Source organism: Homo sapiens, chromosome X, assembly GCF_000001405.40.
Source record: "Homo sapiens chromosome X, GRCh38.p14 Primary Assembly".
In the NCBI taxonomy this organism is placed as follows: Eukaryota; Metazoa; Chordata; class Mammalia; order Primates; family Hominidae; genus Homo; species Homo sapiens.
The window spans coordinates 134,982,707-135,002,540 of NC_000023.11; the positions used below are offsets into that span (position 1 = coordinate 134,982,707).

General features: G+C 43.2%; 1 protein-coding gene across 1 annotated transcript; it reads left to right on the forward strand.

The window, feature by feature from the left end:
• The first annotated feature begins 8,284 nt into the window (after window positions 1-8,284).
• SMIM10 (small integral membrane protein 10) lies at window positions 8,285-9,767 on the forward strand. Its single transcript, NM_001163438.2, has one exon. It carries the CDS (start codon window positions 8,390-8,392, stop codon window positions 8,639-8,641), a length of 252 nt encoding a protein of 83 aa, NP_001156910.1. The 5' UTR covers window positions 8,285-8,389; the 3' UTR covers window positions 8,642-9,767.
• Window positions 9,768-19,834: the final 10,067 nt, after the last annotated feature.

The window sequence follows — 19,834 nt, forward strand, 5'->3', positions numbered from 1 at the left end:
GCACAATGGAAGGGAACCAAAACAAATCAAACCTGACTTCTCCCCCAAAAAGGATGCCCAAAGTCCCATAAGTTATTATCTTTTGTTTTAGAGCAAAGTGAAAGCAAATTTATTAAGAAAGTAAAAGAATAAAGAATGGCTACTCCTTAGGCAGAGCAGCCCCATAAGTTATTATCTTATGAACAGCCTGCCACAAGATGGCTGGTTGTAGTCCCCTCGCCCTCCCACACAAGGAAGTGGTATATACTGGAGGTTCAGTATTGGCCTCTGCTGCTGGGAAGTTGGGATTGGACACACAACTTTTATGATCAGCCGTGGTGAGGGGAAGCCCATGCAATTGAGCCCATGTAGAGCCTTCATCTCTGCAGCCATGGGCATTTTGTACATTGGCCCCTTGAGTAAGCTTCAAGATAGTTGGGGAAAGAGGTTGACATTCTAATGCAAGTAATCTTGTTCACATAGTTATCGATACCCTCCATCACAGTTGATGCCCTCTGTTGGGCACTTATATGGAACACAAATGTATTTACCATTAGTAGAGGTCCAACCACATACCACTTCCCCAAAACCTTCTTGTTACCAATACTATAAATTTTGTTCATTCCAAGTCCCTGAACCATATGGTATAGAGCCATACCTTAGGCCACTTCTCCTTCCAAGCAAAGTGAACAACCAGATATACCACTTGAAATTATGTTCTCAGAAAAGACTCTTCTTCAGTGACCTTCCGGGCTACCCCTGTGTGGGGCTGTGATCTACAACAATGTGCTCTGGCTGGTGCCCTTAGGTCATGCAGAAATGTGCTAAAATAGGTTTAGATGTTCTACTCTTCAAATAGCTGGTTATACAGAGGTCCCTGTATTAGTTTGCTAGGGCTGCCATAACAAAGTACCACAGACAGGTGACTTAAACAACAGAAATGTATTTCCTTACAGTTCTGGAGGCTAGAAGTTCAAGATCAAGCTGTCAGCTGAATTGGTTTCTTTTTGCTACAATTTGAATGTTTGTGTTCCCTCCAGAATTAATGTTGAAACTTAATCCCCAATGCAAGAGTATTAAGAGGTAAGGCCTTTAGGAGGTGATTAGGCCACGAGAGCTCTGCTGTCATGGATGGGATCAGTGCCTTGTGAAAGGGCTGAGGGAACTAGCTAGGCCCTTTTGCCCTTCTGTCCCTTTTGCCATGTGAGGAAACAGTGTTCGAGGTGCCGTCTTGGAAGCAGACACCAGGCCCTTACTAGACAACGAACTTGCTGTCAACTTGATCTTGGACTTCCCAGGCTCCAGAACTGTGAGAAATAAATTTCTATTATTTTTAAATTACTCAGTCTAAGGTATTTTGTCATAGTGGCAGGAATGGACTGAGTCACTTCTGAAGGCCTCTATTCTTGGGCTTATTGGTGGCCGTCTTCTCCATGTGTCTTGACATGGTATTCCCTATGTGTGTGTTTGTGTCCTAATCCCTTCTTCTTAGAAGAACATCAGTGATGTTGGATTAGGGTCCACCCTAATGACCTCATTTAACCTTAGTTACTTCTTTAAAAACCCTATCTCCAAATATAGTCGCATTCTGTGATTCTGGGGGTTAGGGCTTCAACATATGAATCTGGCACGGACACAACTCAGCCCAAAGCAGTCCCCATGAAACTGTAAGTGTGGGTTGCGAAAGAGAAGGCAGTGTGGCAGGTGTGAACACACTGGAAGTGTGAGCCACTGCTTAGGTACCTTTGTTGTGCCTCCAGAACCTGTTCAAGGCCAATCCATATATACCACTTCTAATTTAAGCTTCCTCTGTATTCTTCTCTAGTGAAACAGGTTCATCAAAAAGGAATGTAATAGGGATCACTACTCCTTAATTTTCTGAGTCTTGATGATGGCCCTAATTTCTGTCAGTTTCCTTTGCATGTACTATTGATTTTGGTTTACTATTTTGACAGTGTAGCACAGTGGTTGAGAGCATGAACTCTGAAGCTAGTTTCTGGTTTACATTCCAGTTCTACCAATTACTAAGTAGTGACCTCGGGCAAGTTACTTAAGCTTTTAATGCCTTAATTTCCTTTTCTGTAAAATGTGTACAATTATAGTACCTACCTTGTAGTGCTGTTTTGAGGAATAATATGTTAACATATGGAAAGTGCTTGAAAGAGTGTCTGGCATGTAATAAGTGCTATGCATGTGTTTGCTATCACTGCTATAATTGGAAGGGAGAGTAAGTTCCAGGCTTCCACCTGGCCCTTCCTATCATAAAGATTCTCACTCTGCAGGTCAGGAAGCCAATTGAGCTGTTTTGCCAGTTGCTAGTTTTATTGATTACAACTGTAAATCCAGCAACTGGGGAAATCACCAGAGTGGATTTATAGACCCACTGAGCCCACCATGAGTTGAATTTAGGCCAAAACTCCAATTATCATTTGATCTTCACAAGCCCTCACTCTGACTGTGGGCAACAGTGTTGTTCCGAGTTCCCAGGATTAGTGGCAGCTCAGAGCTATTGTCCCATAATCCCCGAAGAGTGCGTGTATTTGAACATTTACCTTGGTAAATTGCTGCAGACCTCTTCTGGGGATAGCTGGGAATATTTATAGTACATAATTGCAATGTTGCCATAGCATCCTTCCTCAAGGTACTCAGTCTCCCTTTTATTCTAGGGAATCTGGGTATATGAACTGAGGAGCTGTGACACTCTATCATGGTGACCCAACTTTCTGTTTGCCAAAATTCCTTTGGTTAAGCAGATCAAGTCTGTATATCAGTCCTAGGGTTCCTATGATTAATTAATTGCATGACAGATCACTGTGGGTCAAGCCATTTTGATTGTCATTCAGTAGCTCTATTCTGGGACATGGTTATCAGTTAGTTTTTGCTGTGAAACAAACCACCGAAAGCTTACACAACCACCATTTATTTAGTTAACGATTGTTGGGGGTTGACAATTTGGGCTGGGCTCAGCTGGGCTAGTCTTCTGCTTGCATCAGCTGAACTCACTCATATGTCTGTGGTCTGCTGCTGTTGGTTTCAGTGACACTACTTCTAGGGATTGGTTGGCCATGAGTTGGGCCAAAAGGGATGGTTGGAGCATGTATCTCTCGACATCTGGTTTGTTTGCATGATAGCAGCAGGTTTCCAAGACTAGCAAGCCCCAATGCAAAAGCACTTTTCCAGCTTTTGCGTGCACCATTTTAGCCAATGTCCCATTGACCAAAGCAAGTCACACAGCAGATTCAAGAGAAAAGAAATAGATCCAAATAGTTCTTCAAATAATCATCTGATTTTATGTGATCCTCCCACTTCCACTCTCTGTACCTGGAGAGCAGAGGGTGCTTCTTCCATGAAAATGGCTTCCACCTATGCTGCAGCCTTTTCCTGAGAATCATTGGTGCAGTATACTCTGATTTATTTTTCAGTTTGATCCACTCAGCATTCATTTCAGGAAGCTATCAAAGTCTTTGCTCTGCCATCCTCACCCTCTCCACTGCTTTTATGAATGAATTTATACTTCTTTATAATTGTTTCTATTTGTTTTGGGAAGGTAAATACCTGTGTTCAATTGAGTATCTTGCACCACAACAACCTCAGATTACATTTTAATCTACTATCTATAGATCAATGGTAGCAGTGCAAAAAATTATACGTATATGTACTATATTCTTCCTATATGTACATGTATATGTATGTATATATGTACACACATACATAAGCATATGTAAATAACATATATATGTGTGTGTATATATACATATATATATATATATAGAGAGAGAGAGAGAGAGAGAGAGAGAAGCTTGCTCTGTCACCGAGCCTGGAGTGCAGTGGTGAGATCATAGCTCACTGCAGCCTTGATCTCCTAAGCTCAAACAATCCTACCGCCTCAGTCTCTTGAGTAGCTGGGACTACTACAAGCATGTGCCACCACGAGTGGCTGATTTATTTATTTATTTTCTTTCTTTCTTTCTTTCTTTCTTTCTTTCTTTCTTTCTTTCTTTCTTTCTTTCTTTCTTTCTTTTTTCTTCCTTCCTTCCTTCCTTCCTTCCTTCCTTCCTTCCTTCCTTCCTTCCTTCCTTCCTTTCTTTCTTTCTTTCTTTCTCTTTCTTTCTTTTTTGAAATAGAGACAAAGTCTCCCTATGTTGCCCAAGCTGGTTCTGGACTCCTGAGCTCACACAACTCTCCTGTATCGGCCTCCCAAAGTGCTGGGATTACAAGCGTGAACCACCATGCCTGGCCTCTTCCCGTATATATAGAGTGAGTGGTTCAGACAAAAGAATCAAGGCATATGCACTCTACCGTGAGAAAGAAGAGCAAAAGATGACTTGTATAATTTTCCAAAGAGAAGAACTTTGACCTAATTCTACTGTTTCATATTTGGTGTCTAGCATGAGAGAGAAGGGTGCATTTCCTTTGCTTAATGCATTACTTTAGGCCATTTTGACCACTCTATTTCTCTCCCAGGGCTCTGGTTGGGATTTTATCAATTTTAGGCTGCTTGTGCTGTTCTGTCTGCCTTAGGCAAACTTTTTTTTTTTTTTTTTTTTGAGACGGAGTCTCGCTCTGTCGCCCAGGCTGGAGTGCAGTGGTGTGATCTCGGCTCACTGCAAGCTCCGCCTCCTGGGTTCACGCCATTCTCCTGCCTCAGCCTCCCGAGTAGCTGGGACTACAGGTGCCTGCCACCATGCCCGGCTAATTTTTTTGTATTTTTAGTACAGACGGGGTTTCACCATGTTAGCCAGGATGGTCTCAATCGCCTGACCTCGTGATCCACCCGCCTCGGCCTCCCAAAGTGCTGGGATTACAGGCATGAGCCACAGCGCCCGGCCTAGGCAAACATTTTAATATAGAAATGAGCAAAGGGGCCAAGGCCTAGGCAATATGAGGGGCAGGGAGATATGAAAAGGCAAGGAGAAGGCTGCCTAGCCCTCTTCCTTGCTGTCACAGCCACCGCCCCTGGGGTTTCCACAGCCTAGTTGTAAGCCTTCTGCGTAGCCACCAGTCATCCCACCCATCTGGCTCTCCTTCCTTTTGACGCCACTACAAATGACCAATAAGCATAATATTAATCCACAGCAGTAATCAAATATAGGTAAATTCAAAATAACTAGGGCCGGGCGTGGTGGCTCACGTCTGTAATCCCAGCACTTTGGGAGGCCAAGGTGGGCAGATCACCTGAGGTCAGGAGTTTGAGACGAGTCTGGACAATATAGTGAAACCACGTCTCTACTAAAAATACAAAAATTAGCCGGGTGTGGTGGCACATGCCTGTAATCTCAGCTACTTGGGAGGCTGAGGCAGGAGAATCGCTTGAACCTGGGAGGCCGAGCTTGCAGTGAGCCAAGATTGCACCACTGCACTCCAGCCTGGGCAACATAGCGAGACTCCATCTCAAATAATAATAATAATAATAATTAGAAAGATTATTTTATTTTACATTATGATATTAAAATAATACATAATAATATGGGTGAGGGTGTGGAGAAATGAACAGCTTTGTAAATTGCCTGAGGGAGTGGGAATTGTTATAACTTTTTCATTTAATTTATTTTTTTTGAGACAAGGTCTTGCTCTGTTGCCCAGCCTGGGGTGCAGTGGCACAATCACGCCTCACTGCAGCCTCAGCCTCTCAGGCTCAAGCAATCCTCTCACCTCAGCCTCCTGAGTAGCTGGGACTACAGACCTGTGCCACCGTGTCCAGCTAATTTTTTACTTTTTTTGTAGAGATAGGGTCTCGTTATGTTACCCAGGCTGTTCTCAAACTCCTAAGGCTCCAGCAATCCTCCTGTCTCTGCCTCCTGAGTGCTGGGATTACAGGTGTGAGCTACCACGCCCAGCCTGGAACAACTTTTTACATAGGAATTGGAAATAGCTATTAAAATTAAGACTGCAAAACTTTAAAAAAATTAATTTACTTATTTATTTTTAGAGATGGGGGTCTTGCTATGTTGCCCAAGCTTGTCTCAAACTCCTGGGCTCAAGCAATTCTCTCACCTTAGCCTCCCAAGTAGCTGGGACTACAGATAAGCACCACTGTGCCGGGTAAGACGGCAAAACTTGACAGAGTGGTTCCTTTCATAGAGATGTGCAATGCTATATACACATAAAAATGAACTGTTAATACGTGGATCTATTTCTTTTCTCTTGAATCTGCTCTGTGACTTGCCTTGTTAATGAGACATTGGCTAAAATGGAGCAACCTTGCTAGTAATCAAACCGTGCAAATTAAAACATCAGTGAGATACCCTTTTCACCTATCAGAATGTCAACTGATTAAAAGAATGTGAATGCCAATTGTTAGGAACTGCTGACGGTATGTTCATGTGTATATTAGTACAAGCTAGTGGAAGGCAGTTTGACAATACGTATCAAAATCCTTACATGAAAACCCTTTGAGCTAAGAATTCCACTTCTATGAATGTATCCCTGGAAAATATCAGAAAGGTGTACAATGATGTGCATGCAAAATATTAATCTCAGCATTGCTTATGATTGCGAAAAATTTGAAACCATCCAAAAATCCATCAACAGGAGATCAGTTAATTATTGGCCATCCATAAGGAATAACACACAGCCAATAAAGTATCAACATGGGAACATATGCAAGACATATCATTATGTTTAAAAGCAAAGGTGGGGACATATGTTGTTTTGTTTGTTTGGTTTTATTTGGTTTTTGTTTGTTTGTTTTTGAGACCGAGTCTAGCTCTGTCACCCAGGCTGGAGTGCAGTGGCACGATCTCGGTTCACTGCAACCTCCACCCCTGGGTTCAAGCGATTCTCCTGCATCAGCCTCCTGAGTAGATGGGACCACAGGCGAGTGCCACCACACCCAGCTAATTTTTGTATTTTTAGTAGAGACAGGGTTTCACCATGCTGGCCAGGCTGGCCTTGAACTCCTGACCTCAGGTGATCCGCCTGCCTCAACCTCCCAAAGTGCTAGGATTACAGGCGTGAGCGCCCGGACTGCATATGTTTATCTGATTCCATTTTTGTTTTACGATTTGTAAATATATCTATGTGCGTATACATGTTTGTGCTTATAAATATACGCAAACAATTGATAAAAACATATACAAATTAGTAGTCTTTCTCTCTAGGGGGTTATGAGCCTAGGAATTTTACTTTTCTCATAATAAATATGATGTTTAATGTTTTACAAGCCATCAGAAAAACAATATTGAAAACTTCAGAAATTTAGAAAAGTTGCTCAACTGCACTGACAATTAAATGAATGCAAATTAGAAGAATAATGAAATGTACTGCCTATCATATTGGTAATAAAAAAATTAAGATTGTTAACACTCAAGGTAACATAGAGCCCTGATCTCTAAACTTTTTTGATCAATCGCATGTATTAGTAAAACGTTTTGGCTTTGAACACTAAATGTATATGTATATGTAATTGTTTTCATAAACAAAGATGGGGTCATATTATTCCTACTGTTCTGCCACTTGTAAATTCATATGTACAGTGATGTTCACTGAAACAATTTTTGACATATGAAAAACTAGAAACATTCAGAATGTCCATCAATAGGGATCTGGTTAAATAAATTATTGACCACTATTAGTCAACATGTACATAGATCACTATTCAGTCATCAAAGAGAGTGAAGTAGATGTACATTCTTGAAAAGGTAAGAGCAATATATCAATACATAAAGTCGGGAAGTAGATACAGCAAACGTAATAGTAGTTCATGGCAAGGGTAGGAGGGGAAAGTGAAGCTATGCAGGGAATTTGCTTTCTATTGTTTTACATATTTCTGCTTTGAAAATTTCTAAAAACTTGATTGAATGACTTTTCCAATCAGAAGAATACGAAAGATCTAACACAAAAACAGAAGTATTGCTTGAATTATTCAAGCAGAATGCACACATTTTAATGTCCAGAAAAGTTGCGGGTTTTGTATATTTGTACTAGCTCAAGAGTTGAGGATTGAAAAACGTTCCTAAAGGGATGAGACAACAGGAAATGGGTTTGTGCTTCTGAGTTGCTCAAGATCATGCTTATGAAGGACATTTTATATCGTTTTGAGCAAGTTTTGTGTTCCTTTTGTTAAAACTTAAAAAACTGAAAAAAACTTAAAAATTAAACATAATTTTAAAGAAAAGACAGCCCGGGTTAGGAAGCTAGGTCTCCCACGTCAGCACGTGCCCTGCCCTTCCTGGGGTTCTGGGGCCTGGGCCAGGACAGTTAGGCTAAACTGACTCTAGGCCACGCGGACCCCGTGGGGCGGGGCGGAACCTGGCAGGGCGCCAGTGACCGCTGGGGCCAGAGCCCTGCCGGGAAAGGAGGGCTTCCGCCTTGCAGCGCAGCTCGGATCAGCAGCAGCCCAGGAGGCCTCCCGCCCGTACTTTCCCGCGTCCATCCCTCTGTCCCACGGTCGGTGAGTCAGCGGAGCCTGATGGAGGCCTTGGGCTCTGGGCACTATGTGGGAGGCAGCATCAGGTCCATGGCGGCGGCGGCCCTGTCTGGCCTGGCGGTGCGGCTGTCGCGCCCGCAGGGGACCCGCGGCTCTTACGGCGCCTTCTGCAAGACGCTCACGCGCACGCTGCTCACCTTCTTCGACCTGGCCTGGCGGCTGCGCAAGAACTTCTTTTACTTCTATATTCTGGCCTCGGTGATTCTCAACGTCCACCTGCAGGTATATATTTAGAGCCACTAACTTTGTGGCATTTGGGGGCTCCTCGTCAGGATGGCTGACTTCCACCCACCTGCTCACCCACCCTAGAGCAAAGCGACCAACTCCGCTCCTGCATGCAGACTTGCCACTCATTCTTTCCATTGCCTCATCTTTTAGTATAAATGGGTGGCAAAAAAAGAAAAAAACAGCATTTGTGGAAAGCCTGAAATATAACCCAAATCGTCTAAGATAGAATGAAAAATTGACTCTCAAGGAAATATTTGAAGGAACAGAATACAGCTTAAAAATTTGAAAATCCTTAAAAATATCTGAGAAGTTTTTGCATCCGTAAAACAGAAAACAGCACGAACTTTAGGAAATGACAATGGGCACAGAATGCAATAAAAAAAAAAAACGGGGAAAGGTAACTAAAAACTTAAGGAAAGATAAACTGAACAAGAATGGCTCAGACAGCAGGCAAATCTCCCCAATTAGAAACGAAGTGAATAGACCCAATTGAATGAGATGAATTCTAAGCAATAGATGGATTGAATAATAAGCTGGAGGACATTAATAACATGTTCTGGAAGGCATACATTTCTTCAACCCAAAGGAAAAAAAATGACAGAAAGAAACTACAGGGAAGAACATTAAAAACTGTGCAAGAAACTTATGTTTCACATATGAAGCAACCTCAGATGTGGCATGGTTTTGAACAGTTGCCGAAAGTGTGAGAAAGGGAATCTGTTTGAATATTGGCACATGGATCAAGACTCTGGAGTCGGTGATGAGAAAATCCAATCAGAGCATTCCACTTTGCTATTCATTGAACCAGGTAGCCAACAGAAGAGTTAAAAATTAGTGATATGACTATATTCAGGGGGAAGGAGAGCTGAGGGGGGCGGCAGGAAGTCAGCAGAAAATGCCTCATGTCATTAAGTCAAGAAATAGTAATAAAGGCATGTTATTGAAAAAGGGGGTGTAATCTCTAAACAAGCACGTGTAGAAGTTTGTGTTTCTGATTTGGGGAAGCAAGAGTTGAGAAGGAGGGACAGTTCTATTACTTTTCATTATATGTCCTTTTTCTACTGTTTGATTTTTAAAAACTATACACATGTATTGCTTTTGCTTCGATTAAAAATCAAGACATTAAAATGAATTTATTGCATTTAGAATGAAATTTGGGGGGGGGGTTGCTAAGAGTGTCAGGTGGACTCTGAGTTAAAATAAGTGCCTTCCTATCTTTCTTCAGTAGTATCTGTATATCCTACAAGGTTCCTGGGTGATCACACAAACTATGATTTCCTTGACTTTGTAAATGTCTTGTTTCCAAACAGACCACAGGCCATATGGAAATGCTTTAAAACTAAAAATGGGCCGGGCGGGGTGGCTCACACCTGTAATCCCCAGCACTTTGGGAGGCCAAGGCAGGTGGATCCCCTAAGGTCAAGAGTTAGAGACCAGCCTGGCCAACATGGGGAAACCCTGTCTCTACTAAAAACACAAAATATTAGCCGGGCATGGTTGCGGGCACCTGTAATCACAGCTACTCGGGAGGCTGAGGCAGGAGAATCGCGTGAACCCAGGAGGCAGAGGTTGCAGTGAGCCAAGATCATGCCATTGCATTCCAGCCTGGGCAACAGAGCGAGACTCTGTCTCAAATGAATAAATAAATAAATAAAAACATAAAAATAAAAACGGCCAATAGTCTTCATGTAGCCCAGAGCTTCTTCACACCATGAAACTTCTCATGAGCAAATCTGTGGAATGTCATAGTTAAGATAAAAATTAAACAATAAATATGTGATTAATTTTCAAAACTTAAAAATTGAAGGCTGGGCACGGTGGCTTACGCCTGAAATCCCAGCACTTTGGGAGGCTGAGGCGGGCGGATTGTTTGAGCTCAGCAGTTCAAGACCAGCCTGAGCAACATGGCAAAACCCTGTCACTAATAAAAATACAAAAATTAGCTGGGCATGGTGGTACGTGTCTGTAGTCCCAGCTACTCAAGAGGCTGACGTGGGAGGATGGTTTGAGCCAGGGAGGTGGAGGTGGTAGTGAGCCAAGATCGCACCACTGCACTCCAGTCTGGGTGACAGAGCCACACTCTGTTTCAAAAAAAAAAAAAAAAATCGGACAGGGGCCCAGTGATGTTTATATAATCTTAAATTTTGGTGTTGACCATAAGAGCAAAACATGAGTTCACCTGGGGTCTAATTAAGAAACTAATGTAAAATTAAAAAAAAAGAGAAAGAAATATATAATAGCAGAACAGTGGAAATAAACTCCTACATCCAACAGTAGGAGCTGGTTAAATCAAAATAGTACATCTATATAATAGAATACTATGTGGCCATTAAAATGATAAGGAATTATATTTTATTGATGTGGAATGAATTTAGTAAATGTGAAGCCACCTAATCAATGATTCAAGTGATTGAGTCAAAGAGTGATACATGTATATTATATATTCATATACTCAACTCAGTTATAGAGAAATAATAAATGGAAAGAGTGCACACTTACAATATGCCATACAATGTTCTAAGCACTTTATATACATCATTTTTTTTTTTTTGAGATGGAGTGTCATCCAGGCTGGAGTGCAATGGCGCGATCTTGGCTCACTGCAACCTCCGCCTCCCAGGTTCAAGCGATTCTCCTGCCTTAGCCTCCCAAGTAGCTGGGATTACAGGTGTGCACTACCATGCCCGGCTAATTTTTGTATTATTAGTAGAGACGGGGTTTCACCATGTTGGCCAGGCTAGTCTCGAACTCCTGACCTCAGATGATCTGCCCACCTCAGCCTCCCAAAGTGCTGGGATTACAGGCGTGAGCCACCACGCCCGGCCTATATACATAATTTAATCCTCACAACAACCCTGAGATAGGGACTATTACTAGCAATTTTCAAGAGAAGAGAGAAACACAGAGAAGTATAGTGGCAGAGTGATAAAATAAAATATTGCAAACAATATTATTCTTCCTACTAATATGAGACACTCATTGCATGACTAACTTTTAATCGTATTTTTATTATTTAAGAAATTGGGGCTGGGCACGGTGGCTCACACCTGTAATCCCAGCACTTTGGGAGGCCGAGGTGGGTGGATCATGAGATCAGGAGTTTGAGACCAGCCTGGCCAGCATGGTGAAACCCCATCTCCACTGAAAATACAAAAAAAAAAAAAAAAAAAATTAGCTGGGCATGGTAGTGCATGCCTGTAGTCCCAGCTACTTGGGAGGCTAAGGCAGGAGAATCGCTTGAACCCGGGAGGTGGAGGTTGCAGTGAGCCGAGATCGTGCTACTGCACTCCAGCCTGGGTGACGGAGTGAGACTCCGTCTCAAAACGAACCCCCAAAAAACCCAAAAAACAAAAAAACAAAAAACAACACACAAAAAAAAAAAAGAGAAAAAGAAATTGGAAGGCATCCTTTAAAATTTTCTTGTAAAATTCATGCTGCAAGTGGATGCCATGGATCCTGGAATTTGTGGAACCAAGGCTAGACACTCCATTCCTGCAGCCTCATTTCAGCACTCCCAAGCCGTTGCACCACTGCACTATGGAGAATTGATGGAACTCATAGTCACTTAAAAAAGAGGGTGGGAATTCTTTATGTTGTTTTTGTTTGTTTTTGTTTTTTGTTTTTCAGACAGGGCCTCACTCTGTTGCCCAGGCTGGAGTGCAGTGGTGCAGTTTCAGCTCACTGCAACCTCTGCCTCCCGGGCTCAGGTGATCCTCCCACTTCAGCCTCCTGAGTAGCTGGGACTACAGGCACATGCCACCACGCCCAGCTAATTTTTGTATTTTTTTGTAGAGGCGGGGTTTTGTCATGTTGCCCAGGCTGGTCTGAAACTCCTGGCCTCAAGCCATCCGCCCACCTTGGCCTCCCAAAGTGTTGGGATTACAGGCATGAGCTGCCACGCCCGGTCAAGGATTCTAACAAAAGAAATTATTTTTAATGAAACATCAAAAGTATTCTTTTTTTTTTTTTTTTTTGAGACGGAGTCTCGCCTGTCGCCCAGGCTGGAGTGCTGTGGCGTGATCTCGGCTCACTGCAAGCTCCGCCTCCCGGGTTCACGCCATTCTCCTGCCTCAGCCTCCCAAGTAGCTGGGACTACAGGCGCGCCCTACCACGCCCGGCTAATTTTTTTTTTTTTGTATTTTTAGTAGAGACTGGGTTTCACCGTGTTAGCCAGGATGGTCTCGATCTCCTGACCTCGTGATCCGCCCGCCTCGGTCTCCCAAAGTGCTGGGATTACAGGCGTGAGCCACCGCGCCCGGCCTAAAAGCATTCTTTATAAAAGGTACTCAAATCAAATTGGTTTTAATGTGGAAATTGTAAATAGTTAAATGTCACGTTTTTCTCAGAAAACACAGCTTTTTGCCCATTAACAGAACATGTTAAAATATACACATTTCTAAAGTTACTCACAGTTTAAAATTTTAACTTGCAAATAGTACAGGCTTTTTGGCTTTATTATTCACTTTTCAAATAATTTCCTCCACTTCACTGCAGGTGTAATTCCTCTCATACTACAGTACTGCTGCCCCACCTCCCCACAAAAAAAGGCAAGACAGCCAGTGAAACTACAGCATCCTCTGATTTATCGACCTGCTCTCTTTCGTGATTGCTGGGCTTTCATGAGCTGAATATCTCTGGCAACTTTTGGCATAGATTTAACCGTAGAGTTAACTGAAATTCTCTTGAGCACTACTAACACGCTTCTGAGCAACAGAAACTCTTTTAACTCAGACTTTCATAAAGGTACAATTCTCTGAAAGCACCAAATGGGAGGGATCTCCTCTCTTATATGCCAGATCAAAGGCGAATTCCTGTTCTACCCTGATTCTTTGTAATTTCCTGTTTCCTTTCCTCTGGGTCCTCTCCTGATATTCCCAGACTTCTGGCTTTACAGGCAGAGATGCAGGTTTCAGGCCCCAGACTTCCCTCAGACCGATCTACAGCCTGGGCTTTCTGTTGCCATCCTTGACCTCTTCCTTGGGTGCAGTTTTGTAACTGCATTCAGACTCAGACAGATACTGGTCACCTGAATGACTACTGGCATTGATCTCCTTCTCCAGAAACTCAGAGAGACTGTTTTTAGAACCCTCATCTCCCAATATAGGGGTGGGAGTGGTCAGAGAGTTATAAATATCCTGTCTTCCAAGGCATGGCTTACCACAAGTCTCCAGTTTGAATAGTTTTAGTACAAATCTAATAGCTTTGTTTCAAACCTTTCCTGAAACATGCTTGGGAACTTAGAGGTGCGGTTCATAAGCCAAGTTTTGTTGAGCCAAATAATCTAAATGATTCTGGGCAAGGTAATCAAATTCTTAACAGGCAGAGAGGCTCCAGGACAAATAAGGGTATCTATCCAATATTTGGGGCTTTACTGGGTACTAATGTCTGTCTGTCACCTGCATTTATCCTCCAAGTACTCCTTTGTTCTAGAGAAGTGAATCCCGGTGATTTTTAGCAGTTCCCCCAAAGAGAAGATGTTAGGTATTAAAAAAAAAAAAGTAACATAGACAATAATTACTTTTCATTCCTTGTATTCCCAGCATGTATAAACAACCTTCTCCCATTCATATGATGCCTCTTGGCATAATTTAATTATTCCACATGCAACCAAGAGAGAGGCAACACGTACAAACATTTCCAGCTACCACAGTCAGAGGTGAAGTCATGGGGCCTCTGTTTATAGTTCACGTTCTCCCAGTGATGTCTTTTCTTTCTCTACTTCTGCCATTATCCCAATTTGATATTCTGTAATCCCATGATCTAAGTGGTGAATTCACCATCACCACTGTACCCTATTTATAATACTAAAGAAAGAAGAGGTGAGAAAAGTTTCAAAAAAGGAAGACAATAAACAGGGAAATATAAGTAGAGGGTAGAGTCTTCATTGCTGTACATAGCCATGTGGTGGTCCTGTTACTCTATCAATTCCACATTCCCTTTGCTTTAGCCACTGGGGAGGCTCAGTCCTTCAATCCTAAGGAGTCTGAGCCCTTGGGAGTCCTTTGTAGGGTTGCAATATTATGTCATGCACCCCTCAGGATTGTAGTATAAAAAAATACCTTAGAGGACCCCCTGAGAATCATCCATATTACTCTCTGTCCTCCTTCTATAGCAGAAACCACAAAATCACCTTTTTTTTGCATGGCTCTGGGGATCTAAGAGTGGCTTCAAATTCAGTGAAACCATTGTTTTGTCTACTACTAAAAGTGTTTCTTCCTAGGAAATTTAAACCTCTAATCTAGTAGAGATCAGAGTTGTAGGTATGGGAAGCAAAACTGTTGCAATGGGTCAGGTGTAATTATGAGAGACACTACCTTTATTTCCACTCCTCTGCTCCCAGACTTGCTAATCTTGGCAGTGGGAGGAATAGCTCTATATATTGGTTGCTGGTTCATAGTATGTATTGCATCCTAGCAGCCTCCATGGTGAATCTCCTATCAGGGCTTGCCACAGGCTCCATATGGCATTCTTTTTTTTTATTTGTAGAATTTCTGTTTGCTAAACCCATATAGCATTATGATTTACTCCAAACATCTTGGGCACCATTGGATCTGCTAGATGATAAGGGCCAACGGGCAGACCTACCAGCACAGTAGCCTACACCAGCTGGAGAGCCTTGTTTTAGCTGTGGATTCACACTAACTACATGTGGCAGGAATGACATCTGCATTTTCCAAATCTTGAATAGTGGCAAAAATCCCTGAAATTCCCACAAGAATATGCTATTGCATTTATTTCCTCTGTTGAGGAGGAGGGGGAGCTCTCGTAGCTTCCATTTTCCCCCTGCTTACCCTTATAACCCCTTTCTCCAGGGCCCAGGTAGCCCATGTGGCCATATACTGGAGACTAGCATCTGTTTCTGCCTGGAGATTTCTGAAGTCAGGAGGCTTGCCTGTACCAGCAGGGTGAATAGGGAACATGATATGGTGGAACTAGAAAGAAAAGGATGGGGGAAACCTCCCATTCCATGCCTTCGCTCTGCATTCCTCAAAGGGTGCAGAAGATAACTATCGTGCTTTCCATGATACCATGTGTTGCAGCACAGAAGTTAGAGGAAGCAACAGAACCTCAGGGCAGCCCCAATAGCCACTAGCCAGATGAGGAACACTCCATCTGGAAGCAATGTGTGGATGCTGACTGATGCTGAGCATGTCCAGGCAGTGGTGGAATAATCCCAGAGGAGGGTTTAGGGTCTCACTCAGCTTACTGGCGGACAGACTCAGAGAAAAACTTCAGTTTCCCCTAACCTCGGTAAATGCCCCCTTCACTCTGAGGTAGGCACTACTGCAGGAGTGTTCTGGTCCATTGGCTTTAACATTAACTTAAAGTCAGTTTCCAATTCATTTCTTTCTTTTTTTGTGGGGACGGGGGGCATGGTTTCACTCTGTTGCCCAGGCTGAAGTGCAGTGGAGCGATCATGGCTCACTGCAACCTCTGCCTCCCAGGTTCAAGTGATTCTACTGCTTCAGCCTCCTGAGTAGCTGGGATTACAGGCGTGGCCACTGTGCCTGGCTAATTTTTGTATTTTTAGTAGAGGCGGGGTTTCGCTGTGTTGTCCAGGCTGGTCTCAAACTCCTGACCTCAGGTGATCCACCCACCTTGGCCTCCCAAAGTGCTGGGATTACAGGCGTGAGCCACCGTGCCCAGCCCCAATTCATTTCTGAAGGTTTGGGGCTATCCTTTCCACTGTAAGTTGCTAAGGTCAATGAGGTACAAGTGTTTTTGGGGGAAGATCAAGGGGGAGATTCACAAGTGTTGTAACAGATTGCTTACTCAGGTTCTCCCGATCATCCCTCATTCTAGAGGCTCTGGGTCTGTTTAATTAATGGCTCATGCCTGGGACTTGTACGTGAGCTATCCCTCTGGCTGCTAGGCTAGTGTGATGGCTGAAATGCCAGGCACCGCTGTTGGTTAGACCAGAGAATCATTTTGGTAGATTTCATTTCTGGGAGCTGCAAAGTTAATTATCCATAGCCAGAGATCCTTGCATGTGTGTTAGTCAGCTTAGGCTGCCATAACAAAATACTACAGATTGGGTGGCTTAAACAACAGACATTGATTTTCTCACAGTTCTGGAGTCTAGAAGTCCAAGATCAAGGTGGCTACCAGGGTTGGTTTCTGGTTGGTTTCCCAGGAGAAGCTGCTGTGGACAGAGTTATTGGCTTAATTGGCCACAATAGACTCCACAGAAAGAACATGCTTGTAGAGTGATAGACACTCATTCGATTAAACCATTGCACTGCCATGCTCAAATTCATCCAATAAATTGCTCAATGTTTCTGCTTGTGCAGGCACAGACTAAAACCAAGAAATAGACTGCCATCTAGAGTCCGTTTATATAATGGGGAAAAGGGTTCAAAGATTAGATTATTTGTTCTATCCATACATGGGCAAGTCATTTCCCCTTCTGGGATCTCAATGTCCTTGCCAGCAAAATGAGAATGTTGCCTTAGACCCGTAGTTTCCAAACTCAGCTCCACAAAACATGCATGCCTTTAATGGTTTGTAATTAGAGTCGCTCATCAGAATGATCCATGATCCTTGAAAATATACATACCCCCATGCTTCACCCTAGATACTCTGATTCAGAAGGAGGTGTGGAGCAGAGTGAGGGCCTGGGCACACGTATAAAACAAAAAAACATTTCACAGGTGCTTCCCAAGCCCTCCCCAGGTAAGGAATCAGTGATACAGATGTTAATAGGTACTCCTTTAACAATGGTGCTATGGTTTGGATATGGTTTCTTTGGCCCCTCTATGTTTCATGCTGAAATTTAATCCTCAGTGTTAGAGGTGGGGCCTGGTGGGAGGTATTTGGGTCATGGGGCTGGATCCCTCATAAATGACTTGGCGCCATTCTCACGGGAGAGAGTGAGCTCTCACTCTTAGTTCCCGCTAGAACTGGTTGTTGACAAGAGCCTGGCACCTCCTTCTCTCTCTCTCTCTCTCTCTCTCTCTCTCTCTCTCTCTCTCTCGCCTCCTCTCCTGTCATGTGATCCCCATGCACCAGCTCTCCTTCGCCTTCTGCCATGAGTGGAAGCTCCCTGAAGCCCTCACCAGAAGGCAGATGCTGGTGCCATGCTTCTCATACAGCCTGCAGAACTGTGAGCCAAATAAACTTATTTTCTTTAAAAATTACCCAGTCTCAGATAGTCCTTTATAGCAACACAAACAGACTAAGACAAACAGCAACCAAATCTCTTCATTCCAGGGCTTCTGGAAGCCTTTAATATTCTAAAGTACAGTGCAGATCTCCAATAGGTATTTATCTAATGTGCCATTCACAGAGGGGTTTGACTATAGAAGCAACACATACCAACAGCTGAGGCCTATCAGTGTTCCTCAGGTCATAGTTGAGAATACCCTAGGCTAGGATATATTCAGGGCCACTATGAGTCTATATCCAAAGATTCTAAGTAAACATTTTATTTTGATGAATCATTGTACACGATATTAAGGAATTTTCCATGGGGAAAATAGCACAGAGCAACTTTACAAGGATGCATTTTCAAAGTGTCCTTAGCACCCCCAATGAAATATATTGCCAAAGAACAAAATACTACTATGGTTTCTAATATTTTTGGCGGTTTGTCCTTTTTTATTAAGATGGGAACCAAAACAGAAACTAACACTCTGGGCCTTCTCAGAACGCTATCCATATCACAGTCTCACCTCTGAACTTTGCACAATATTTAAATTATGGCCTAGAGAGATGTTTATTTTGTCTTCTACTCTCCTGGAGACAGACAGAAGACACCGCTTTATTTTCAATTCTTCTTAGGGTACAGAGAGGGAAGAGTGAGCTGAAATTCCAACCCCTTGCAAAGCCAGAGATGGTTCCTTTAGACCCAACAGTAGATTAGAAGACATTCACACTCCTTGGGTAAGCTTCTATCTCAAATACAGACTTTGTTCCTATATATTGGCTATTGCCCTTTTATAAGATACTACTCTAAGTATTGGCTCACATTTCCATATACATAAAGTAGTAGGCTGATTCCAACGCAGGCCACAGCAGTTCCTCTCATCCCTGGATGCTCAGCAATTTGCACTGTGACTTTGCCACTCCTTCCTTCAATAAGTGGAGTCTTTTTCTCCACCCCCATGAATCTGGGCTGGCCGGTGACTTGCTTCGACCTTATGGAATTGGTAGCAGAGACATTTTGGGAGTTCTGAGCCTATTCAAAAGGCTTTGAAGTATTCACTCTCATTCTCTACCCATACAGAGAAGGCTGAAAGCCTAAATTTCCTGGAAGCTTGAAACATATAGAGGCCTGTGAACCATACCACAACCAGAACTACTGAGCACTAGATGAGGCTAGGCAGGTCCTCCCACCGCCCCGCCCCACTCCCACCCACCTGCAAAGCTCACCTGGTAAATACTGAGTTACCATCTGGATCTGACACACAGGATCAATTGCTCTAGGCCCTGGCTCCCTAGGGCCCCGCATTGCTGGCAGCTGGTCAGGGACTGTTTTCCAGGAGGCAGAGAAAAGCTGCTGAATCCCACGTTCAAACAAGCAGTCCACAAGCCACCCTCAGGGAAGCAGGGTGCAGAGGTGGGTCTGTGCCCTCTCCAACACACATCTTCCAAGCTGCCCATTGCCATTTTCTGAATTCTGGCTCCTTGTCAAACTCTCTTGTGTGTTCACATTCACCATAACTCCATGGTATAAATGCACTGGCAAATAGGGCCGAGAAGCAGGAAAGAGCAGTTTGCCCAGGCTTTGCCTTTCCTGAACCACACCTTGGACCTCACATCCCATGAAAGGCAGCTCTATTCATCATGGCCCACAAGACTCCATCTGCTGTGTCTTGTGGGCTGATGTTGGTGTCATATCCCACTGAAGCCTCATAGTCTACAGCCAATAGTGACACGTACACACATGCCAATAGTGACATGTACACAGATCTTCTAGAAGCTACTGTGTCATTCGAATGGCATGAAGAAGGCATGTTCCACATAAAAAGAGGTGAGAAAAAAATAAATGCACTTGGTGCATTAATGGGGTGGGACTGGGGTCATGTTTCCTCTCTTCATACAATTACTTTCCTTGCTGTTGCTATGAATTTGCACTGCTGGTGAGAATGTAAATTGGTCCAACCAAATGAGAAACGTGTTTGGCATTATCTAGTAAAGTTAAACATAAGCATCCCCCGTGATGCAACAATGTAATTCCAAGTTCTTTACCCAATGGAA

What these genes read in the sequence shown, in the direction of transcription:
- SMIM10 (NM_001163438.2), top strand. Translation starts at nt 8,390, where the DNA reads ATGGAGGCCTTGGGCTCTGGGCACTATGTGGGAGGCAGCATCAGGTCC.